The sequence below is a fragment of the Homo sapiens genome, chromosome 12, assembly GCF_000001405.40.
Source record: "Homo sapiens chromosome 12, GRCh38.p14 Primary Assembly".
Classification (NCBI taxonomy): Eukaryota; Metazoa; Chordata; class Mammalia; order Primates; family Hominidae; genus Homo; species Homo sapiens.
In genome coordinates, this window is record NC_000012.12 from 49,706,829 (window position 1) to 49,732,687 (window position 25,859).

At 44.7% G+C, this 25,859-nt stretch overlaps 1 protein-coding gene, 1 long non-coding RNA gene and 1 pseudogene across 8 annotated transcripts in view, besides 3 other annotated features; 2 read left to right on the forward strand and 1 right to left on the reverse strand.

Moving 5' to 3' along the window:
• Window positions 1-577, reverse strand: part of FMNL3 (formin like 3) — a 70,907-nt gene extending 70,330 nt beyond the window's left edge. For all 6 annotated transcript variants that reach the window (NM_198900.3, NM_175736.5, NM_001367835.1 and 3 more), the window contains exon 1: window positions 227-577. In NM_198900.3, the coding sequence (NP_944489.2) occupies window positions 227-352 (126 nt within the window). In that variant the 5' untranslated portion in view covers window positions 353-577. The remainder of the gene's footprint in view (window positions 1-226) is intronic.
• Window positions 221-990: a silencer, noted in NCBI's record as "silent region_4442". NCBI's record gives its function as "represses an Ori minimal core promoter by ATAC-STARR-seq in GM12878 lymphoblastoid cells {active_cell/tissue: GM12878}" and the evidence as "EXISTENCE:reporter gene assay evidence [ECO:0000049][PMID:35858748]".
• On the forward strand, window positions 898-24,621 carry LOC124902929 (uncharacterized). Of its 2 annotated transcripts, none has more exons than XR_007063299.1 (3): window positions 898-1,011; window positions 8,553-8,715; window positions 24,463-24,621. It is a non-coding gene; the product is annotated as an uncharacterized LOC124902929 (long non-coding RNA). The 2 variants fall into 2 exon arrangements; XR_007063300.1 differs by lacking the exon at window positions 24,463-24,621 and adding an exon at window positions 23,798-24,421.
• Window positions 1,011-1,160: an enhancer, noted in NCBI's record as "active region_6329". NCBI's record gives its function as "activates an Ori minimal core promoter by ATAC-STARR-seq in GM12878 lymphoblastoid cells {active_cell/tissue: GM12878}" and the evidence as "EXISTENCE:reporter gene assay evidence [ECO:0000049][PMID:35858748]".
• Window positions 2,174-2,636, forward strand: COX5BP5 (cytochrome c oxidase subunit 5B pseudogene 5; annotated as a pseudogene).
• Window positions 18,585-18,785: a silencer, noted in NCBI's record as "peak1727 fragment used in MPRA reporter construct". NCBI's record gives its function as "represses an SCP1 promoter by STARR-seq MPRAs in K562 erythroleukemia cells {active_cell/tissue: K562}" and the evidence as "EXISTENCE:reporter gene assay evidence [ECO:0000049][PMID:32103011]".
• Window positions 24,622-25,859: the final 1,238 nt, after the last annotated feature.

A 25,859-nucleotide genomic window follows, 5' to 3' on the forward strand; every position in this document is an offset into this window, starting at 1 on the left:
CTCCTAAGGGTCCAGCGGTGGAGGCGTCGGTCCCGAGATCCCCGACGGGGCTGTCCGGGCCGGCCAGCGGCTGCTCAGAGGTTCCTGGGAAGACACTGGAGGCCGGGATCCGTTCGGGACCCCGACTGAAAGGGTGGGCGGGACGGGGGCCCAGCACAAAGTCCCAGCCCGGGCGTCGGGACCTGAGGGGCGGTACGCGGGGGAAGGGGCTGGGCTCAGCTCTCACCAGCACCAGGGCGAACCTTTCCTCCAGCTCACAGGGCTCAGGCATCGGCATCTTGCCGGGCGGCAGCAACAACGGGACAGAGGGGGGCTCTCCCGGGACCCCCTCGGCGCTCTCCAGGTTGCCCATCGCGGCGGGGCCCCCTCAGGGGCCTCGGCCCCCCACCTCCACGCTCCGGAGCTTTCGGCTCCGCGGCTCCGACCAGGCTCCTCCCTCAGCGCCGGCTCCCCGAGTCCCGACTCCTCGGCCCCGTCGAGGGCGCCGGGGGTTCCCTGGAGTCCCGCTGGCGGGGGCGCGCGGCGAGGGCGGAGGCAGCGTAGCGGACAGCCGCACCGAAGCAAGGCGGACGGAGGCGGCCGGCTCTTGCTCACACCCGCCGCCTCGCCGCGCTCGGCGCGCCGCCCGGGCGCTGCCCCTCCCCGCCCCCCGCGCTCTTTCCCTTCCCCCGCCAACCTCGCTTCCTCCCACCCACACCCGGCCGAGACTCGGGCTTCCCCCGCGAGCGCCGACTGCAGCCCGCGCGACGCGCGCCCCATTCATGCAGGCCCCGCCTCCCGCCCAGAGGCCTCACAGGCGGCCCGGCCCGCCCCACCTGCGCCCGATTGACGGCCGCGTCTGCCAATCACAGCGCCTCCCGCCCTTGACGGCCTCGTGCCGGGCGCCGAGCGCTCCCTGGCGGCCTCAGCCGGCATCGAATCACCGCGGTTCCCAGAGGGCGTGAGGGGCTGGCGTGGACACACCGGGAATGGACCGTACCCTTTTTCAAAAGGAACTCATGATGTATACAAGTAAGTAAAATATTATACAAGGCATGGCGTACAAAACTAACTACAAGAGAAGTAGAAACAAGCAGGATACTCAGAAGAGGGAGAGAGATAGTACCTGTTAAGAGTCGGGGTGAGGGAGATCATAGTTGGACCAGGCATTGAGGGATGAGGAAGCCCTTACCCGACAGAGGCAGGGGAAAAAACGTTTGGGAGGAGAGAAGCTTAACCATCTGGCTGCGTGTGAAAATGGAGAGGCGGGAGAAGAACGCTGTTCTGGGCTCAGTCGGCGGCTGGGTCGTTGACATTTGCGGTGGAAATTTGTTGTCTAGCCGCCATCTTCTTCCAGTGAGAGCACCCCCTTTTCTTTTAGGAAACCACCTCTCCCCTCTTCTCAGTCTAAATGGAGCTGAATTTTATCCCCAGTTCCAAAGGACCGCATGACCCAGGCCCAGTCAGTCACAACATTTTCCTCCTCTACCCATGGACACTGTTTTAGGGATTGTCACTTGACCCAAGCCCAGACAATATGATATATCCAAGGCTTTCTCTGAAACAATCAGGAAAGAGGCACTCACTCTCTCTCCATTTAGGCTGCAAAATTATTAGAATGTAAACCTGCAGCCGCTGGTGGCCGTCTTATCATCACCTGTAACACATCAAGCCTGCTTGAGAATGAAGCCAGCGCAGAGGAGAGAAAAGCTATGAGACAGGACAAAATTCTAATGACATGCCAAGAACCTGGATCTAACCATGCCTGAAGTTATCACCTAGATTTTTAATTCATTTATTCAACAAATATTTATTTTAGAAAGTTTATTCTATGCCAGATACTATTCTGGGCATTGAAGGTACATCTGCGAACAAACAGGATATACATTGTGTCCTCTTGGAATTCACAATCTGTGTAGAAGGAAAGGTAGACAATAAACTAGACGAGTAAAATGTATAGATGTTAGTGATCAGTGTTAATAAAAATAAAACTGAAAGGTGATAGAGATGGAAGAGGCATTAAGATTTTAAATAGAGTTGCTTACTTGGGAGGCTGAGGCAGGAGGATCAATTGAAACTAGGAGGTTGAGGCTGTAGTGAGCCATGTTCATGGCACTCCACTCTAGCCTGGGTGACAGGGTGAGGCTCTGTCTCAATAAATAAATAAACACAGCTGTTGCTTGTCACAGGCATGATGGCTTCAAGGTTAATTTTCAGAGCTGGAGCGCTAGCCGCATAGGCCTGAGGGCTTACAGTCCCAATGGGGTGGTTGCAGTGTGCTTCATGGCATCTGGAGGTGGCGTTCCTACTGATGACAAGCAGATGACTGGGCTGGAGAGGGAGTTCATGACAGCCATGTATGAGATTGGACCCATACAATATATTACCCCCAAAGGCAGCTTCAGGCACCAGGGAAGACCCTAACAGCTCCCTCCATCACCAAGATAATAGTGAGCTGCATCGGTGAAGAGGACAACAGTGCTGTCAACTGGTTCTGGCTGCACAAAGGCGAGACCCAGTGATGCTCTAACTATGAACCCATTACAAGCTGATGTCCCACAAGTTGGCCCAGTGAGCCCTGGCACTAATTGCTCAAAATGTGCTGTAAAGTATCTTCTCTCCAATAAAGACTAGTCATTGCATTGGCTCCTTCTTCCCCTCCCTCATAATAAATATTTTAAATAGGATGATCAAGGAAGGACTCACTAATAAGATAGCATTTGGATAAAGATCTGAAGGATGCAAGGAAATAAGCTATGTGGCTATCTAGGGAAGAATTATCCAGACAAAGGGAATGGCAAGTGCATACTATCTCTGATGTATTAGAAGAACAGCAAAGATGCCAGTGTAGCTGGAGTGCAATGAGCAAGGAAAAGGGTAGTGAAAGATGAAGTCAGAAAGGTAACCAGAAGCCATATATTGTGTAGGATATTGTAGGCTATTGTGTGAGGACTTCGGTTTTCTCTAAGTAGGATAGGTAGCCATTGGAGGATTTTGAGTAGAGGAGTGGTATGATCTAACATGTTTTGTAACAGGGATCACTCTGGCTCTTGCATTGAAAACAAACCAATAGAAGTATGGACAGGGAGACTAGTTAGCAGGCTAGTGCAATCATTTGGGTGAGAGATGGTTTGAACCAGGGTGGTAACTGTACCGGTGGAAAGAAATGGTCAGATTCCTTATTAAAGACTTGAAAGTAAAGCTGATGGAATTTCCTGATAGTTTGAATGTGGAGGGTGAATGAAAGATAACTGCAAAGTATTTGACTTGAGCAACAAAGATGGTGGAGTTTTCACTAATTGAAATGGGGGAAGTGATAGGAGGAGTAGGTTTGGTGAGGGGGAACTGGAAAGGGAAGGTCAGGAACAAGTTTGGGCCATGTTGAGTTTGATTTGCCCTTTGGACATCCAAGTAAAGATATCCACTAAGCAATTGGATATAAATGAGTTTGCTCTTCAGACTCATATATGTCTTATTGCGATTGCACCCCGCTGGGACTGCAAGCCCTCAAAGCCTTCATGGCCAGCGTTCCAGCTGTGCAAAGTAACCTTGAAGCCATCATGCCTGCGACAAGCAGCAGCTCTACTTATTAATTTATGCAATTTGGCAATGTAAATTTGGAAATCATCGTCATATAGATGCTATTAAAGCTAGTAAATTCTTTTTCTTTTTTATTTTATTTTTTTATTTTATTTATTTATTTTTTTTGAGACGAAGTCTCACTCTGTCGCCCAGGCTGGAGTACAGTGGTGTGATCTCAGCTCACTGCAAGCTCCGCCTCCCAGGTTCACGCCATTCTCCTGCCTCAGCTTCCTGAGTAGCTGGGACTACAGGCGCCTGCTACCACGCCTGGCTAATTTTTTTGTATTTTGAGTAGAGATGGGGTTTCACTGTGTTAGCCAGGATGGTCTCGATCTCCTGACCTCGTGATCTGCCCGCCTCAGCCTCCCAAAGTGCTGGGATTACAGTCGTGAGCCACCGCGCCTAGCCAAAAGCTAGTAAATTCTTTTTCTAACTCACTATGCATTGGGTTCCTGTTGTTTACAACCAAGAGGTAGAGTCCCTGTCTTTCCAAACCATTGAAACCCTTTCCTGTGAAGCTCAGCCTCTTCTAATCAGTGAACAAATTAATCAGTTCACATCTTATCCCCTTTCTTCATCTCCACTTCTTACCCTAAATACGTGCCTTCCCAACTGCTGTGGCAGACTCTTCTAAGCAGAGGGGTTATAACAAGACTGTAGACTTCCACTAGACAAAAGTTGAGAATTCAAGAAGGGAAATAATTCACCATTTATCATGGATGCACAAGGAACATCTAGCAAAAAGAAGAAACTCGATAGGACAGTGAACAGCAGTGTATTCACCTTTTGTGTGGTTTCTTAGTCCCTAACCTTTTAATTCTGTTTTTGCTTGCCTCAAGCATAACCACCAGATTTATATACTCTAGGGTCTTTGGGGATCTGCTAGATTACTTCTTTCATTGTTAACTGCCTGCTCACCCACCTTTAAATGCTTACTTTCTGTAGGATAAAACTAAAACTCCTTATTCTGATATTCGAGGGTCTATCTCTAAACGCTAATGTCTTCTAATCAAATCAACCCTTTGCTTCAGCTGGAAAGGTCCATCTCCAAACATTAGTTGCTCATTCTTATGTCTGGCTTTGCTCTTTGTGGTAGACAGAATAATGGCTCCCAAAGTATCCATGTCCTAATCCCCAGAACCCGTGTATATGTTATCTTACATGGCAAAAGGGACTTTGCAGATGTGATTAAGTTACAGATCTAGAGATGAGAAGACTCTCCAGGTGATCTCAATGTGATGACAACGGTCCTTATAAGAGGAAAGGCCAAAATGAGGGAGGGAGATGTGATGACAGAAGCAGGAGTCAGGGTGAGGTGGAGCCATGAGCCAAGGAATGCAGTAGCTTCTAGAAACTGAAAAAAGTCAAGGAAACAGATTCTCCCCTCAATCCTCTATAAGGAACATGGCCCTGTCAACACTTTAATTTGAGCTCTGTTAGACCTAATTTCAGACTTCTGATCTCTAGAACTATAAAATCATAAATCTGTGTTGTTCTTAGCCACCGTTTGTGATAATTTGTTAGAGAACCAACAGGAAACTAACACATTCCTGCTGCGTCCCTGATCTGGATTTCTTCTTCCTTCTACTCCATCTATCCAAATCCCACCCAGGCTTAATACAATCTTTAGGTTTATTGGGTGCTTATGTGCAAAACATCTGACTAGATGCCGGTAGATAAAGAAAGAATGCAAGATGAAAAGGTGAACAAGAGACCTGCTGCCAACTTCAAAAGAGCTCCAAGTCTGGTGCAGGAGAGGCAAGGTAGAGCGGAGGAGTGTGGACCCAGTTTGAAGGAACCGTGTAAGATCATTGGTATTATATTGGTGGGTACCAAGTTTCATATCCCATCCTGGAGTTTTCTCAAATTCAAATGATCATGACTCTTGTTTTCTCTACTTTTCATTTGGAACTTGTAGATATGTAACTCTTGGTTCCTTTACTGCCTTGTGCTGTTTAATTTTTTTTTTTTTTTGACAGAGTCTCACTCTGTTGCCCAGGCTGGAGTACAGTGGTGCAATCTTGGCTCACTGCAACCTCCACCTCTGGGTTCAAGTGATTCTCCATCCTCAGCCTCCCGAGTAGCTGGGATTACAGGTGTGCACCACCACATCCAGCTAATTTTTGTATTTTTAGTAGAGACTGGATTTCACCATGTTGGCCAGGCTGATCTCCAACTCCTGACCTTCGGTGATCCACCTGCATAGGCCTCCCAAAGCTGTTTAATTTTTTGTCTATGTCTTGTCTGGTCTGTGGAGCTTATTTGTTTATTTAAAAGTATATATATCCAGTCCTCTTTTATTTCAGGTACTAAGGAAGATCCAGATATGAATAGGTGTCTTTCTTCCCTGTGCTCACAATAGGGCTAGTAGGAATCTAAAAGCCTCTCAAACTAATGTTTACAAAACAGTATGGTAAGTGTTGTCATAGAGGGTCATGCCAAGTGCTATTGAGAGAACTGGGGAGTGGATGACACTGGAGCCAGCGCTTAAGGGCGAATAGATGTGCCAAATGGAAAAGAGAGAACAGTGTGATTAGAAGGTGATGGAAGGATGATCAGGAAGGAGAAAAGGCATTCCAGAAGGGGGAACAATACAGGTGAAAATGGATTGTTTGAGCAATAGTAAGAAATTCAGTGAGGCTGAAGAGTAGGGTGTATAGCAGGAAGAGAGGAGATAAATCTAGAAAGACAGGTCAAATCAAGTTCAAAAAGAGCCTTGTGCTAAGCTAAGAAGTTTGTCCCTTTTTTTTTTTTTTTTTTTTTTTTGAGACAGGGTCTTACTCTGTCACCCAGGCTGGAGTGCAGTGGTGCGATCTCTGCTCACTGCAACCTCAACCTCCTAGCTCAAGTGATCCTCTCATCTCAGCTTTCCTAGTACCTGTGGCTACAGGTGTGTGCCATCATGCCCAGCTAATTTTTGTATTTTTTTGTAGAGATGGGGTTTTGCCATGTTGCCCAAGCTGGTCTCAAGCTCCTGGGCTCAGATGATCTTCCTGCCTCAGCCTCCCAAAGTGTTGGGATTATAGGCACAAGCCACCATGCCCGGTTGAGTTTGTCCTTTATTATGTAGATAGTAGCATGTCCTAGACAATTTTTAAGTAAGCTCTATGGAAAAATTCCTTTAGGAGCATTTGAAAATATAGAGGGTCTACAGAAACGACATAGGGAAGATAGAAGCCTGAACCAAATCAGAGCAGGGGGATGAACAGAAGTAAATTTGGCGAAGGAGATATACCTGAGATACAATCAACCAGACTTCATTGCTTATTACATAATAATACTGACTGGTGGGGCTGGGTACGGTGGCTCACGCCTGTAATCCCAGCACTTTGAGAGGCCGAGGCAGGCAGATTGCTTGAGGCCAGGAGTTCAAGACCAGACTGGCCAACATGCTGAAACTCCGTCTTTACTAAAAATAAAAAAATTAGCCAGGTATGGTGGCGCACACCTGTAATCCCAGCTACTTGGGAGGCTGTGGCAAAAGACTCGCTTGAACCCAAGAGGGGAAGGTTGCAGTGAGCTGGGATTGCACCATTGCACTCCAGCCTGCGCAACAGGCTGTGGCAGGAGACTCGCTTGAACCCAAGAGGGGAAGGTTGCAGTGAGCTGCGATTGCGCCATTGCATTCCAGCCTGTGCAACAGAGTGTCTACTATAAAGACACATGCACATGTATGTTTATTGTGTGCACACTGATCATTTGCAATAGCAAAGACTTGGAACCAACCCAAATGCCCATCAATGATAAACTGTATAAGGAAAATGTGGCACATATACACCATGGAATACTATACAGCCATAAAAAAGATGAGTTCATGTCCTTTGCAGGGACATGGATGAAGCTGGAAACCATCATTCTCAGCAAACTAGTACAAGAACAGAAAACCAAACACCACATGTTCTCACTCATAAGTGGGAGTTGAACAATGAGAACACCTGGACACAGGGAGGGGAACATCACACACCGGGGCCTGTTGGTGGGTGGGGGGCTAGGGGAGGGATAGCCTTAGGAGAAATACCTAATGTAGATGACAAGTTGATGGATGCAGCCAACCACCATGGCACGTGCACTTGTGTGACAAACCTGCACATTCTGCACACGTACCCCAGAACTTAAAGTATAATTTTAAAAAAATAGTGACTGGTATTATTATAGTGTTTTACAATTTTCAATATTTTTTCACATCCATTACCTACTTAGATCTTTACAACACTATACGAGGGAGATATTATCATTATCCTTGTCTTATAGATGAGAAGGCAGATTTTAAAAAGTGAAGTCGTATGAACAAGACCACCTAATGAGTAAGTGGTATCCCTGGCTCTGAACCCAGGCCTTGTTTCAGAATTCCATGCCATCTGATTCTCTAATGAGAAGTGAGGAAGTAAAGAAGACTGAAGAGTTTAGGCCAGCTTAAGGATGCCCTACCTTTATCCTCTAGGGAAGCTCTTAGGTCAACTGCTTCCCCCTCCTTACTGACAGCACTTTCAAACTCCAGCTTCCACCCCTGTCCTACCCATCGAAGAAGCTTCTACATTCTCCCTACCTCCTAGTCTAGCGCCTAGTCTTTAGAAACACACATCTCCTCACCCCATCTCTTTCCTAGGAAGGTGTGGGAGAAGTGTCAACACAGATATTTAAGAGTTTTACTTAATAATTTGCCCTGGCAAATTATTACAGGCGGTGGCTCACACCTGTAATCTCAGCACTTTGGGAGGCTGAGGAGGAAGGATGACTTGAGCATAGGAGTTTGAGACCACCGTGGGCAACATGGTGAAATCCCGTCTCTACAAAAAAATAACAAAAATGAGCTGGGCGTGGTGGCATGCGCCTGTGGTCCCAGCTACTTGAGAGGCTGAGGTGGGAGGATCACTTGAGCCTGGGAGGTCTAGGCTGCAGTGAGCCATGACTGCACTACTGCACTCCAGCGTGGGGGACAGCGTGAGATCCTGTCTCGAAAAATAGTAATGAAATAGTTTTCCCTGTTGCAGATAGAATGCTCTTCCCCTTCTTTGCTGGCCAATTCCTACTCATCTGTTAAAACCAAGCTTAGAGATTACCTCTTTGATGACATCTCTACCAAGTCTGATTGAGAACATCTCTGTGAGCACATAGTATTCTAACATCTCTATCATCATACCATGAAATCATCAGGTAATGTAAACTCCTTCAGGGAAGGTAGGTATTCCTGATGTCTAGCTATAGACCCACTCCATGTCTGTTACATGCTTGTTGAACAAATGAATGCCTTTCCACAGTCCCATTTTTCCCACATGATAGAAGATGTTTTTTGTTTTGTTTTGTTTTTGTTTGTTTGCTTTTTTGAGACAGAGTCACTCTGTGGTGCAGGCTGTAGTGCAGTGGCATGATCTCGGCTCACTGCAACCTCCACTTCCGGGGTTCAAGCGATTCTCATGCCTCAGCCTCCTGAGTAGCTGGAATTACAGGCACGCGCCACCATGCCTGGCTAATTTTTGTATTTGTTTTTAGTAGAGATGGGGTTTCGCGATGTTGGCCAGGCTGGTCTGAAACTCCTGGCCTCAAGTGAACCGCCCGCCTTGGCCTCCCAAAGTGCTGGGATTATAGGAATGAGCTACTGTGCCCAGCTGAACATGTTGGATTCTTTATCATTCCTCCCAGATACATCCTGACTGCCTGTATCACTCAGGATAGTTGGAGGGGATTCGGTGCAGAAAACAGAAACCCCTGCAACTATCTTAGGGATACAAAGAGTTAAGTGCTTACGAAATCCTTCAGAAAGTCTAGAGGAATGGCCGGGTGTGGTGGCTCACGCCTGTAATCCCAGCACTTTTGGGATGCCGAAGCAAGTGGATCACGAGGTCAAGAGATGGAGACCGTCCTGACCAACATGATGAAACCCTGTCTCTACTAAAAATACAAAAATTAGCTGGGTGTGGTGATGCACACCTGTAGTCCTAGCTACTTGGGAGGCTGAGGCAGGAGAACCGCTTGAAGCCGAGAGGCGGAGGTTTCAGTGAGCCGAGATCGCGCCACTGCACTCCAGCCTGGTGACAGAGCAAGACACAGTCTCAAAAAAAATAAAATAAAATAAAATAAAGTCTAGAGGAACTAGCTCTGGGTTGAAACTCCAAGAATAACCACCAGAACAAGGTAAGAGTGCTCCAACAGGGAAGCTGTTACCTCTACCACAGTCAGGGAGGGTGAAGCACCTGAAAGTCTCCACTAACTGGGTTTAAGAGTAAGTGGCTGCAGCTATGATCCAGCGAGCTGGCAGCTGTATCAGGACATTGCCACTGCTACACTCTGATGCAGCCACCTCTCAATATTTGCAAAGCTAGAGACCTCACAGTATCACTGCTATAGAAACATGACACATCTCTACAACCTTGCTTGGCCAGGAGAAATAGTCAAAGTAGCAGGGTGATTGGCCTTTTTCTCACTTCTGCATTCTACTATATATATTTTTTGAGACAGAGTCTCACTCACTCTGTCATCCAGGCTGGAGTGCAGTGGCACAATCACAGCTTACTACAGCTTCGAACTCCTGGGCTCAAGGGATCCTCCCATCTCAGCCTCCTAAGAAGCTGGGACTACAGACATGTACCACCACTCTGGCTAATTAAAAAAAAAAAAAAAAAAGGTTTGTAGATACAGGGTCCCACTGTATTGCTCAGGCTGGTTTCAAACTCCTGGGCTCAAGCAACCATCCTGCCTCAGCCTCCCAATGTACTAGAATTACAGGTATGAGCCCAGCCTCACTTCTGCATTCGAAATCTCACCCAAGTACATGTGATTGGATGTAAGGAATTCTGAGACATATAATCCTTAGCTTTTTAGCCTCTTCAGGAAAGTATGCTAAAAGGAGATGAAAATGGATGCTGAATGCTAATCAATCATCCATCACATTGCTTGTCTGAAAATCCACCCAATTGTCTTATCATCCACAACTGAGTCTCTTCCTTTACACCTACACCCCTTGCCCAGTACCTGCCCCTGTGGCTGGCTTAGTCTCTGATTCTTGCCCTTAGTCAGCTCCTTCAGGCTACGATTTGATCTTTTCTGCAACTTGGTTTAGGCAAAATGTCTTAGCTATGATTCCAGAAGCACAATCCATAAAAGAGCAATTGATATATTATACTCTATCAGAATTAAAAATTAATGCTCTTTGAAAACTACTGTTAGGAGAACTAAAAACAAATCACAAGCTAGGACTGGGAGGAAATATTGCAAATCACCTATCTGACAAAGGATTTGTATCCAGAGTATATAATGAACTCTCAACACCTGGCTGGGCGCAATGGCTTACGCCTGTAATCCCACCACTTTGGGAGGCTAAGGCAGGTGAATCACTTGAGGTCAGGAGTTCGAGACTAGCCTGGCCAACATGATGAAACCCCGTCTCTACTAAAAAATTCAAAAATTAGCTGGGAGTGGTGGTGCGTGCCTGTAATCCCAACTACTCAGGAGACTGAGGCAGGAGAATCACTTGAACCTGGGAAGTGGAGGTTGCAGTGAGCCGAGATTGCACCAATGCACTCCAACCTAGGTGACAGAGTGAGACTCCATCTCAAAAAAAAAAGAAAAAGAAAACAAACACCCAACTCAATAGCAACAGGTGTTAAGCAGCCTCTGCAAAAAAAAGAAAAGAAAAAGAAAAGGAAAAACAAACAGCTCAATTAAAAATAAGTTAAAAAAAAAAAAAACAACGGCCAGGCATAGTGGCTCATGCCTATAATCTTGACACTTTGGGAGGCCAAGGCTGGAGAATTGCTTGAGTTGCTTGAGTTGCTTAAGTCCAGGAGTTGAGGACCAGCCTGGGCAACAGTGGGATCCCATCTCTACAAAAAAATTAAAAATAAAGTTAGCCGGGTCCATGGCACACACCTGTAGTCCCAGCTACTTGGGAGGCTGAAGTGGGAGAATCACTTGAGACCAGAAGTTCAAGACTGCAGGGAGCCATGATTGCACCACTTCACTCTAGCCTGGGCAACAAAGTGAGACCCAGTCTCAAAAAATGATAGCGATTTTTCAAAAATTAAGAATAAAATAAAGGCCGGGTGTGGTGGCTCACGCCTGTAATCCCAGCACTTTGGGAGACCGAGGTGGGCGGATCACGAGGTCAGGAGATCGAGACCATCCTGGCTAACACGGTGAAACCCTGTCTCTAATAAAAATACAAAAAATTAGCCAAGCGTGGTAGTGGGCTCCTGTAGTCCCAGCTACTTGGGAGGCTGAGGCAAGACAATGGTGTGAACCTGGGAGGCGGAGCTTGCAGTGAGCCGAGACTGAGCCACTGCACTCCAGCCTGGGCGACAGAGCGAGACTCTGTCTCAAAAAAAAAAAAGAAGAAGAAGAAGAAGAAAATAAAATAAATTTTAAAAATATAGGGCCAGGCACAGTGGCTCACGTCTGTAATCCCAGCACTCTGGGAGGATGGGAGGCTGAGGCGGGCAGATTGCTTGAGCCCAAGAGTTTGAGACCATCCTGGGCAACATGGCAATACTTGGTCTCTACAAAAAGTATAACAAATTAACCAGTAGAACATATCTATAGTCCCAGCTACTTGGGAGGGTGAGGTAGGAGGATCACTTGAGCTTGGGAGGTCAAGCCTGCAGTGAGCTGTCATCACACTACGGCACTCTAGCCTGGGCAACAGAGTGAGATTCTGTCTCAAAAAAGATGTGCGTGTGTGTGTGTGTGTGTGTGAGAGAGAGAGATGGTTTGGATTTCAGTGTGTTTCATTTCTGTTAGCTGCTTTTTCTCATAACCATTGGCCAGAACAAGATCAGTGCATTTGAAATGAAAAGGAGGGATCAGAAGGAGGGTTATAAAAGTAGACAAGGAAAGGTGGGAGATATTGGCAGGGGGCAATGGTTCACACATGTAATCCCAACACTTTGCGGGGCCAAGGCTGGAGGATCACTTGAGTCCAGAAGTTCAAGAACAGCCTGGGCAACATAGCAAGACCCTTTCTCTACAAAAGAAATTAGCCAGGTACAGTGGCATGCACCTGTAGTCCCAGGTACTCAGGAGGCTGACATGGGAGGATCGCTTGAGCCCAGGAGGTCAGGTCTGCAGTGAGCCATGATTGTGCCACTGCACTCCAGCCTGGTGGCAGAGCGAGAGAGAGAGAGAGAGAGAGAAAGAAGGGAGGGAGGGAAGGAAGGAGAGAGAAAGAGAGAAAGAGAAAGAAGAGAGAGAGAAAGAAGGGAGGGAAGGAAGGAGTGAGAAAGAGAGAGAGAAAGAAAGAGAAAGAAAGGAGAGAGAGAAAGAAGGGAGGGAAAGAAGGAGTGAGAGAAAGAGAGAGAAAGAAAGAGAAAGAAAGAAAAAGAAAGGGGAGGGAGGGAAGGAAGGAAAGAGAGAGAGAGAAAGAAAAAGAAGGGAAAGAAAGAAAGGAAGAGGCCAAGCACAGTGGGTCATGCCTATAATCCCAGCACTTTGGGAGGCTGAGGTGGGCAGATCACCTGAAGTCAGGAGTTCAAGAGCAGCCTAGCCAACATGGTGAAACCCTGTCTCTACTAAAAAAAAAAAAAAATTAGCCAGGCATGGTGGTGCACGCCTGTAGTCCCAGCTACTTGGGAGGCTGAGGCAGGAGAATTGCTTTAACCCGGGAGACGGAGGTTGCTCTGAGCCGAGATCATGCCACTGCACTCCAGCCTGGGCGACAGAGCGAGACTCCGTCTCAAAAAACAAAAACAAAAAAAAAAAAAATTTAGACGAGGACCTCGAGGTCATTCCCAAATTGCTTCCACTGGTTCTCCTCTCCATCCTTGCCCTGGGCTGAGGGATTTAATCTGCTTTTTATCTCTCACTCTGCCACACCACCTCCTAACTTTGGGAAAGCAGATCTGTGGCTATTTTCCTACCTTCCTCCCCTCTACCTTCTTACTCCCCCCACAGCCTTTAAAGTCAAGTCCAACTGCCATTTTCCTTTAAAGGTTTTATTTATTTGTTAAAAACCACAAAACTTTGCAAAGTTATGCTTACCAATACATGCCAATTGTGCCACAAGAGGCAGCATAGCATAATGATTAAGAGCATGGGCTCCAGAACAGTCACCAGAGCTCAAATTCAAGCTCTGTGACCTTGGACAAACTGAATGAGCCTTTTCGTCATCTGTAATGTAGTCATTGTTCCTACTTCCCAGGGTGATTGCAAAGATTAAATGAGTTAATACATTTAAAACATCTTGAACACCATCTAGCATCTCATAACCAGAAAACACTGTGAAGAAAACCCTTAGAAATAGAGCTGAGGAAGACCTTAAAGAGAGGGTTCTCACGCATGTATAACTGATAACAAAAAAGATTCTACAAAAGCCACAGTTTTGCACAAAGGCCACCACAACCTTTCACAAAAAAAATACTGCTGCAAAGACATCTGCCCAGCAATTGCTTGTCCAACCTCAGACTGGTGTCGGCCTTGTTATTGATCTTTGTAGCCAAGGATAATTATTTCAAAATAATTATGTAATCCTCATTTTTTCCTTTGAAAACCTTTGTCTTCCTTTACCTTCCTGAATATGCATATAGGTTACTATGGCACATGTATTCTCATTGCAATGCTCTATTCCCAAATAAATATCATTTTCTTTTGGGAAGCCTCTCCTGTTTGTTATTTAGGTTGACATATGCATTTAAATGACTCCTGTGCCTTTTCATGGCTTGATGGCTCATTTCTTTATGGCACTGAATAGTATTTCATTGTCTGAGTGTACCACAATTTATCCATTCATCTACTGAAGGACATCTTGGTTGCTTCCAAGTTTTGGTAATTATGAATAAAGCTCCTGGAAACATCCATGTGCAGATGTTTATATGGACATAAGTTTTCAACTCCTTTGGATAAATACCAAGGAGCATGATTGCTGGATTGTACAGTAAGAGGACGTTTAATTTTCTTTTTTACAATAATTTTAACTTTTATTTTAGATTCAGAGGGTACATGTGCAGGTTTGTTACATGAGTATATTGCATGATGCTAAGGTTTGGGTTACAATTGATCCCATCACCCAGGTAGTGAGCATAGTACCTGTATTAGTCTGTTTTCACACTGCTGATAAAGACATATCCAAGACTGGGCAATTCATGAAAGAGGTTTAATGGACTTACAGTTCCACGTGGCTGGGGAAGCCTCACAATCATGGCGGAAGGTAAGGAGGAACAAGTCACATCTTACATGGATGGCAGCAGGCAAAGAGACAGCTTGTGCACGGAAACTCCCCCTTATAATACCATCAGATCCAATGATACTTATTCACTATCAGGAGAACAGCACAGGAAAGACCTGCCCCCATGACTCAACTACCTCCCACCAGGTTCCTTCCACATGGGAATTGTGGGAATTACAATTCAAGATGAGATTTGGGTGGGACCATATCAGTACCCCAATAGTTTTTCAACCCTTGCCCCTTCCCTCCCACCAACCATATCAGTACCCAATAGTTTTCAACCCTTGCCCCTTCCCTCCCACCCCCTCTAGTAGTCCCCAGTGTCTATTGTTGCCATCTTTATGTCCACGAGTACCCAATATTTAGTTCACACTTATGAGAATATGCAGTATTTGGTTTTCTGTTCCTGTGTTAGTTCACTTAGGATAATGGCCTCCACTTGCATCTATGTTGCTGCAAAGGACATGATTTTGTTCTTTTTTATGGCTGTGGTATACTTAGTTTTCTAAGAAATTGCGGAACTCTCTTCCAAAGTATCTGTACTATTTTGCATTCCCACCAGCAATGGATGAGAGTTTCCATTGCTCCACATGTTTACCAGCATTTGGTGTTGTGAATGTTCTGAATTTGGGCCATTCTAAGAGGTGCACAGTAGTATTTAATTGTACTTTTAATTAGTATATCCCTGATGAGATATAATGTGGAATACCTTTTTTATAAATTAATTTTTTTTTGAGACGGAGTCTCGCTGTGTCGCCAGGCTGGAGTGCAGTGGTGCATTCTCGGCTCACTGCAACCTCCGCCTCCTGGGTTCAAGCGATTCTCCTGCCTCAGCCTCCCAAGTAGCTGGGACTATAGGCACCCGCCACCACGCCCAGCTAATTTTTTGTATTTTTAGTAGAGACATGGTTTCACCATGATAAAGCCGGGCACGGTGGCTCATGCCTGTAATCCCAGCACTTTGGGAGGCTGAGGTGGACGGATCACAAGGTCAGGAGTTTGAGACCAGCCTGGCCAACATGGTGAAACCCCATCTCTACTAAAAATACGAAAAATTAGCTGGGCATGGTGGCGGGTGCCTGTAGTCCCAGCTACTTGGGAGGCTGAGGCAGGAGAATTGCTTGAACCTGGGAGGCGGAAGTTGCAGTAAGCTGAGATCGCACCATTGCATTCCAGCCCGGGAGACAGTACAAGACACCGTCTCAATAAATAAATAAATAAATAAATAATAATTATTATTATTATTTTGGCAGAGACAAGAGTTGCCTAGGCTGGCAGGGCACGGTGGCTCATGCCTGTAATCCCAGCACTTTGGGAGGCCGAGGCGAGTGGATCACGAGGTCAGGAGATCAAGACCATCCTGGCTAACATGGTGAAACCCCGTCTCTACTAAAAACAAAAAATCAGCTGGGCGTTGCCATGGGCGTGGTCGTGGGCAAATAAGTATACGAAAAATGCTCTAGTGCTACACAGTGGCTCACATCTTTAAACTCAGAGCTTTAGGAGGCCCAGGCAGGGAGATCACTTGAGGCCAGGAGTTCAAGACCAGCCTAGGCAACTCTTTTTTTTTTTTTTTTTGAGACGGAGTCTCGCTCTGTCGCCCAGGCTGGAGTGCAGTGGCATGATCTTGGCTCACTGCAAGCTCTGCCTCCCGGGTTCACGCCATTCTTCTGCCTCAGCCTCCCGAGTAGCTGAGATTACAGGCACATGCCACCCCGTCTGGCTAATTTTTGTATTTTTAGTAAAGACTGGATTTCACCATGTTGGTCAGGCTGGTCTCAATCTCCTGACCTCGTGATCTGCCCTCCTCGCCTCCCAAAGTGCTGGGATTACAGACGTGAGCCATCGCCCTTGTCCACCATCTGTACATCTTCTTTGGTAAGGTGTCTGTTAAGGTATTTGGCCCATTTTAAATTTTTTATTTTATTTTGTCTTTTTCTTTCAGATCAAGTGAACAAAATGGCCCATTTTTAAAAAATAGGGTTGTTTGTTTTCGTATTGTCGAGTTTTAAGAGTTTTTTGTTTATTTTGGTTAATAGCCCTTATGTCTTCTGCAAATATTTTCTCCCAGTCCGTAGCTCAATTTTTCATTCTCTTGACAGTGTCTTTTGCAAAGCAGAAAATTTTTGTTTTAATGAAGTCAACCTTTATCAATTATTTCTTTCATAGGATTATACCTTTGGTGTTATATCTAAAAAGGCATGACCAAATCCAACGCCATCTACATTTTCTCCTATGTTATCTTCTAGGAATTTTATACTTTTGAGCATTTATACCCTTTGCCCACTTTTATGTTGTTTTTTTTCTTGTTAATTTGTAGAAAAAACACTGTTTCAGGCTGGGCACGGTGGCTCACACCTGTAATCCCAGCACTTTGGAAGGCTGAGGTGGGCGGATCACTTGAGGTCAAGAGTTCGAGACTAGCCTGGCCAACATAGTGAAACCCTGTCTCTACTAAAAATACAAACAAAACAAAACAAAACAAACAAACAAAAAAACAACCAGCCGGGTGCAATAGCTCACGCCTATAATCCCAGCATTTTGGGAGGCCGAGGCGGGTGGATCACCTGAAGTCAGGAGTTCAAGACCAGCCTGGCCAACATGGTGAAACCCTGTCTCTACTAAAAATTAAAAAAAAGAAAAATAGCCAGGCGTGGTGGCAGGCGCCTGTAATCCCAGCTACTTGGGAGGCTGACGCAGGGAGAATTACTTGAACCTGGGAGAAGGAGGTTGCAGTGAGCAGAGATTGTGCCACTGTACTCCAGCCTGGGCAACAGAGCAAGACTCCATCTCAAAACAAAAATAAATTAGCTGGGCATGGTGGCATGTGCCTGTAATCTCAGCTACTCAGGAGGCTGAGGGAGGAGAATCGCTTGAACCCTATAGGGGAGGTTGCAGTGAAGTGAGCTGAGATTGCGCCACTGCACTCCAGCCTGGGCGACAGAGTGAGACTCTGTCTCAAAAAACAAACAAACAAACAAAAAACACTAAGAACATGAATAGACAATTCTCAAAAGAAGATATACAGATGACCAAAAAACATACAAAAAATGTTCAACATCATTAATTATCAAGGAAATGCAAATCAAAACCACTAATTATCAGGGAAATGCAATACCACCTTACTCCTGCAAGAATGGCCATAATCAAAAAATCAAAAATAACGGATGCTGGCATGGATGTAGTAAAATGGGAACACTTTTATACTGTTGGTCGAATACTACCACTATGGAAAACAGTGTGGAGAGTCCTTAAAGCGCTAAAAGTAGATCTATCATTTGATCCAGCAAACCCACTCCTAGGTGTCTACCCAGACGAAGTCATTATATGAAAAAGATACTGACACATACATGTTTGTGGCAGCACAATTTGCAATTGCAAAAATATGGAACCAGACCAAATACCCATCGATCAACGAGTAGAAAAAGAAAATATGGTATATACACCATGGAATACTACTCAGCCATAAAAAGGAACTAAATAATTGCATTTGCAGCAACCTGGATGGAATTGGAGACCATTGTTCTAAGTGAAGTAACTCAGGAATGGAAAATCAAACATCATTATGTTCTCCCTCATAAGTGGGAGCTACGCTTTGAGGATGCAAAGGCAGAAGAATGACACAGTTGGACTTTGTGGACTCGGGAAAGGGTGGGACAGGGGTGAGAGATAAAAGACTATACAGTGGGTACAGTGTACACTGCTCTGGTGATGGGTGCACCAAAATCTCAGAAATCACCACTAAAAAACTTATTCATGTAACCAAATACCACCTATTCCCCCAAAACCTATTGAAATAAAAAATAAATAAAATTTTTAAAAAAGAGGGTACACTGTTTCAATATCTATGCCACCCCAAACTTGGTGGCATAAAACAACAACAATTTTATTTGGCTCATAGATTCTATGCAACAGGAATTTGGACTGGGCACAGCAGGGTATCAGCTGGAAGGACTCAAATGACCGGAATCATCTGGAGTCTCCTTCATTCACATGTGTAGCATCTGGGCTAGGATGACTCAAAAGCTGGGCTTAGTTGGGATTGTTGACCCGAGCACCTAAAGATGGCCTCTTCAAGTGGCTTGGGCTCACAAGCTGGTGGCTGGGTTCTAACAGGAAGTATCCCAAGAGCAAGCATGTTCCAAGAGACTTAGGCAGAAACTGAATAGCTTTTCATGACACAACCATAGAAGTCACACAGCATCACTTATTCTGTAGTCTGTTCATTGAAACAGCCACAAATTGCCCACATTCATGGGGAGAGGATATGGACTCAACTTCCCGATGAAATCTGTGTCAAAGCATTGAAGATCATGTTTAAAAAACCATCTCAAATGTGGCTTCTAATTATACTGCTGAGAGAGTAACCAGGACTGGGAACAATTGAGGTACAGCATTTTGTATGCATAGTCAAAAGATGTTTATTATCTATAGGACATTGTTTAGAAATTTGCTCTACTATTTAATTTGTGATAAGTGATTAGTAAACATGTTTATCAGTGTAAAACTCATAGAATGGCAAAAAAAAACTACCTCAGTTTTAATTTTCAGAAGTATGCTTTCCCCCATTTGGGGGAAGCATTAGCCTTCCAAGTCTTTTATTTTTTCCATTTGAAAAATTGGTATAAAAATTGCAGTTGATGGCAACTCCATCCTTCTAGGTGCTCAAGTAGTGGCTGTAAATATGTTCTTAAATTCTTTGATATCCCACCTTCAAAAGGTGTAGTCTAATTCCCTTCCCTTTGAAAGTGGACAAAACTCAGTAATGGAAACAGGGCCACTCTTACAGTGTGTGGGACCCCAGGCAAATTTGCTTTTAATGAGATCCCATCTATATAATGATTTGATTTAAAATGTATTACATTCTTAGATATGACACATAAAGCTCAAGCAACACAGATTTTATCAAGCAACCAAAGAAAATGGATAAATTGGATTTCTTCAATATTAAAAATGTTCTGGCCGGGCTCAGTGGCTCATGCCTGTAATCCCAGCACTTTGGGAGGCCAAGATGGGCAGATCACATGGTCAGGAGTTTGAGACCAGCCTGGCCAATATGGTGAAACCCCGAATGTATTAAAAATACAAAAAAAAAAAAAAAAAAAATTAGCCAGGTGTGGTGGGGGGTGCCTGTAGTCCCAGCTACTTGGGAGGCTGAGGCAGGAGAATCGCTTGAACCCAGGAGGCAGAGGTTGCAGTGAGCCAAGATTGCGCCACTGCACTCCAGTCTGGGTGATAGAGCGAGACTCCGTCTCAAAAAAAAAAAAAAAGAAAAAAAAAAGGGGAGGGCGCAGTGGCTCACACCTGTAATCCCAGCACTTTGGGAGGCTGAGGTGGGCAGATCACAAGGTCAGGAGATCAAGACCATCCTGGCTAACACGGTGAAACCTTGCCTCTACTAAAAATGCAAAAAATTAGCCAGGCATGGTGGCATGCATCTATAGTCCCAGCTACTCGGGAGGCTGAGGCAGGAGAATAGCTTGAACCTGGGAGGTGGAGGTTGCAGTGAGCCAAGATTGTGCCACTGCACTCCAGTCTGGACAATAGAGAGAGACTCCGTCTCAAAAAAAAAAGTTATTGCTTCAAAAAATCATTAAGAAGGATTAAAAAAACAGCCCATGGAATGGGAGAAAAATATCTGCAAGCTATATATCTGATAAGTATCCAGAATATATAAAGAGCTCTTAATATCTCAACAATAAAAGACAACCCAAGTTAAAAAAAAATGGGCAAAAGTCTTGAATAGACATTTCTCCAAAGAAGATATACAATGGCCAATAAGATACTCAACATGATTAGTCATTAGGGAAATGCAAAGCAAAAACACAGTGAAATATCACTTCGCATCTAATAAGATAGCTATAAAGAAAACCATGGGTAATAAGGAATGTTGGCAAGGATGTAGATAAATTAGTGACCACAGAAACTGCTGATGAGAACATAAAATGGTACAGCCACTTTGGAAAACAGGTTGGCAATTCCTCAAAAAGTTAAATCTAAAGTTATCATATGGCCAGGCACGGTGGCTCATACCTGTAACCCCAGCACTTTGGGAGGCGAAGCGGGCAGATCACCTGAGTTTGGGAGTTTGAGACCAGCCTGGCCAACATGGCAAAACCCCGTCTCTACTACAAAAAATTAGCCAGGCCTGGTGGCAGGCATCTGTAATCCTGGCTACTTGGGAGGCTGAGGCAGGAGAATTGCTTGAACCCAAGAGGCAGAGGTTGCAGTGAGCCGAGATTGCACCATTGCACTTCAGCCTTGGCAACAGTGAGACTCTCTCAAAAATAAAATAAAGTTACCATATGATCCAGTAACTCTACTCCTAGGTATATATCCAAAATAAATGAAAGCATATGTCCACACAAAAATTTGTACATGAATGCTCATAGCAGCATTATTCATAATAGCCAAAAAGTGGAAACAACCCAATGTCCATCATTGGACATTTAAAGTGAATGGACAAACTAAATGTAGTATAATCATACAATGGAATATGATTCAGCCATAAAAAGGAATGAAGTACTGATACATGCTACAACATGGATGAACTTTAAAATATTATGCTAAGTTAAAGAAGTGAGATACCAAAAGCCACATATTGTATGATTCTATGAAATTTCCAGGATAGGCAAATCTAGAGACAGAAAGTAAATTAGTAATTGTTGCGGTTGTGGAGAAAGAGAGAAGGAAATTAACCCTGCTAATGAATGGAGGGATTTTTTTGGAGGGTAATAAAAATGTTTTGAGGGCTGGGCATGGTGGCTCATGCCTGTAATCCGAGAATTTTGGGGCATCAAGGCGAGAGGATTGATTGAGCCCAAGAGTTCAAGACCAGCCTAGGCAACATAGTGAGACCCTGTCTCTACAAAATTAAAAAAAATTTTTTTTAATTAGCCAGGTATGGTGGTGCACACCTGTAGTCCCAGCTACTTGGGAGGCTGAGGTGGGAGGATTGCTTGAGCCCAGGATGTCAAGGCTGCAGTAAGCCATTATTGTACCACTGTACTCTAACCTGGGCAACAGATCGACTCCCTGTCTCAAATATTTTAATGTAAAACTATTTTTTAAATGAAAATAAGGTTCTGGAATTAGTGGTGATTGCACAATCTTGGGAATATTCTAAAAATGACTAAAATGTACACTTTAAAAGGGTGAATTTCACATTGGGAGGCTGAAACAGGAGGATCACTTGAGTCCAGGAGTTGGAGACCAGCCTGGCCAACATGGCAAGATCCCGCCTCTACAGAAAAAAAAATTGTTGTTTGTTTGTTTGTTTGTTTTGTTTTTGAGATGGAGTCTCGCTCTGTCACCAGGCTGGAGTGCAGTGGCACCATCTCGACTCATTGCAACCTCCGACTCCCTGGTTCAAGTGATTCTCCTGCCTCAGCCTCCCGAGTAGCTGGGATTACAGGCATGCTCCACCATGCCCAGCTAATTTTTGTATTTTTAGTAGTGATGGGGTTTTGCCATGTTGGCCAGGATGGTCTAGATCTCCTGACCTCATGATCCGCCCGCCTCGGCCTCCCAAAGTGCTGGGATTACAAGTGTGAGCCACTGTGCCTGGCCAAAAAAAAATGTTTTAAAATGCAAGGCATGGTTGTACACACCTGTGGTTCCAGCTACTCGGGAGGCTGTGGCAGGAGGATTGCTAGAGCCCAGGAGTTCAAGGCTGCAGTGACCCATGTTTGCACCACTGCACTCCAGCCTGGGTGACAGAGCGAGACCCTTTCTCAATTAAAAAAAAAATTGGGGCCGGGCGCGGTGGCTCACGCCTGTAATCCCAGCACTTTGGGAGGCCGAGGCGGGCGGATCACGAGGTCAGGAGATCGAGACCATCCTGGCTAAAACGGTGAAACCCCGTCTCTACTAAAAATACAAAAAATTAGCCGGGCGTAGTGGCGGGCGCCTGTAGTCCCAGCTACTTGGGAGGCTGAGGCAGGAGAATGGCGTGAACCCGGGAGGCGGAGCTTGCAGTGAGCCGAGATCCCGCCACTGCACTCCAGCCTGGGCTACAGAGCGAGACTCCGTCTCAAAAAAAAAAAAAAAAAAAAAATTGGGCCGGTAATTTATAATAATTAAAAAATAAATGGTAATTTTTTTTTTCTGAGACAGACTCTCACTCTGTCACCCAGGCTGGGTTACAGTGGCACAATCTTGGTTCATTGCAATCTCCACCTACTGGGTTCAAGAGATTCTTGTGCCTCAGCCATCTGAGTAACTGTGATTACAGGTGTGTGCCACCACGCCCAGCTAATTTTTGTATTTTTAGTAGAAATGGGGTTTCACTACATTGCACAGGCTGGTCTCAAACTGCTGGCCTCAAGTGATCCACTCGCCTTGGCCTCCCGAAGTGCTGGGATTACAGGTGTGAGCCAATACGCCTGGCCTAAAATGGTAAATTTTATGATATGTAAATTATGTCTCAATTTTTAAATATATCACAAAGTTTATGAGACTGTGTGAAGTATGACGACATATAGCAAAATGATATATCAATGAAGACTTAGAATAATGGGTAGAAAAGAGATATCAGCTTATTGTCCATATCAGAGCATGTGATGATTCTTCACAGTGTGCAGGTACCACCTTTTCTTGTTCAGGTCCAAAAATCATGTTCTTCATGTTCTTTATTGTCAAATATGCCATTCCTGGCTAATTTCATATCTCCCACCAAGAGAAAAAGGTAGTAACTCCTGTTACTATAATTCCACAGGTCTTTGCAACCTGTTTGTAGTGAAACAATGTAGATATTTTTGTTTCTGGAGTTCCTTAATACTCTTGGTTACAACATTACTCATGATACATTATTCATGATGTCGTCCATGACTCTCTCAAAAATTATTACTGTATTTTCTTTTTAAAATTTTTTTATTTTATTTTGTTTTATTTTATTACTGTATTTTCTTGATTATGATCACAAATGCAAGTCTTACCCAGAGAATGCCCAAAAATGTAAACAATAATTTGTTTTATGGTCATGTTAAATTTTCACTCAGAATTTTATCTAATAAACATAGAGCATCACTTCTTCTAACCCTATCTTCTTTTGCACACTTTAAACCATAATTACGACATTCCTAGGCTATCAGTTCTTTGAATGATGACCACATGCCTATCTTTTGGACACCATCACCAACAGGGAAGATGTGTGAAGGGCCCATGGGTGCAGCAAGAGGAGTGATCCCATTCCTGCATGCCTCATTTGGCATGACTTAAGACAAACATTGAGGGAGCATTGCATCACTACATCAGTCAGAAGCAAAAGGACATCAGTTGGAAAGGGCCCTTTGGCACTGTGTAGCAACAATCCCAAAATCATTGGACTACCCAGGGAGGACTGCCTGACACCTATCATGGAATCTTCTGCCGGGGTGGGGTAACTACCCTGGGTGCGAGTGATGGGGCAGAAAGGAGATGGCATGCAGTCATACACAGAATAAAAGATGTCTGCTACCACTCTGTAGTCTTCAGGTGCTGTGGACCACCAGCAGTTCCACAGTCAGAACACTGACAAAGGAAGGCCAGCACAAGGTCCCCAACACATGGCTCATGACCAAGGGTTGGTAGAGGACTGTCGATAGCCCAGAGACCTGAACTCATCTTGTGTTTGACCCCAAATAAGCATGTCAACACTATTCTGGAGACCCAATTTCACACTATTTTATGAAAGAACTGTGCTAGCCAGCAAGAGTGACTGACTGACTTACCTGCAAGGTGCTCTCAAATTCTTGTTTTCTTTTTTGTAGAGCTGGCATCTCGCTTTGTTACCCTTACCCAGGCTGGTCTTGAACTCCTGACTTTGAAGGATCCTCCCACCTCAGCCTCCCAAAGTGCTAGGATTACAGGCATAAGCCACCATGCCTGGCCTCAAAGATAACATAATAAATGATTATTGTTTTAAGCCACTGAGTTTTGTAGTGCTCTGTTACAAAACAGTAGATAAATAATACATACGACTAAAAACCTAGGTGTCATCCTTGACTCCTCATTCTCTTACATCCCACATCCAATCTGCCAGCAAATTATATTGGTTTTACCTTCAAAATATATCCAGAATCTACTTCCCACCACCTCTACCACTACCACTTTGGTGTGAACCTTCTAACTGTACTGCTTTTACCCTTGAATCTCCACAATTTATTTTCAAACAGCAGCCAGTGTTACTGTAAGAAGGTAAGTCATATTATGTTAGTCCTCTGCTAAAAACCCTGCAATGGTTACCTATTTTCCTCGGAACAAAAAAGCCAAAGTCCCAAGTCTTTCAAGCCCCTACATGATCTTCCCCTGCTACACTACCTCTCTGACTGCATCTCCTGTACTTCTGCCCTAATTTATACCACTGCAGTGGCCTTCTTACTGTTCTTCACCTGTGCCAGGCATGTTTCTACTTAAGGCTTTAGCCCTTACTGTTCCTCTGCCTGAAATACTCTTTCCTTGGATCCCGTGTTGTGCAATCCCTCCCTCGTCTCCTCCAAGTTATTGCTCAAGTCTCACTTCCCAATGAAGCCTATCACCTCTGTAATTTCTACATGTCCATCTCTGAACTTCTTCTTTTTTTTGAGACAGAGTCTCACTCTGTCACCCAGGCTGGCGAGATCTCGGCTCACTGCAACCTCCGCCTCCTGGAATCAAGTGATGCTTGTGCCTCAGCCTCGGGAGTAGCTGAGATTACAGGTGCATGCCACCACACCTGGCTAATTTTTGTATTTTTCGTAGAGACAGGGTTTCACTGTGTTGCCCAGGGTGGGCTTGAACTCCTGACCTCAGGTGATCCACCCACCTCAGCCTCCATCTCTCTGAACTTCCGATACCAATTATCCTACTCTATTTTACAGCACTTATACTCTAACAATACTATACAATTTACTTATTATGCTTATTATTTAGTTTTTCTCTTCTAGAATTTAAGCTCTATGAGGGCATGATTTTTGTATTTTGTTCACTGATATACCCACACATGCCTAAAGCAGGCACGTCGTAGGTACTCAATAAATGAATAACCTGTGTCACTCAAAACTGTGCAGGCAGAACTCTTAGCAAGCTCTTGTCCTAGGCACATAATTTAAGCCTGACAAAAGGTCAATTGAACCTTAAGTATGCCATGAAAACAGAGCTGCAGCACCTGAAAGGGCCACACTGGTAC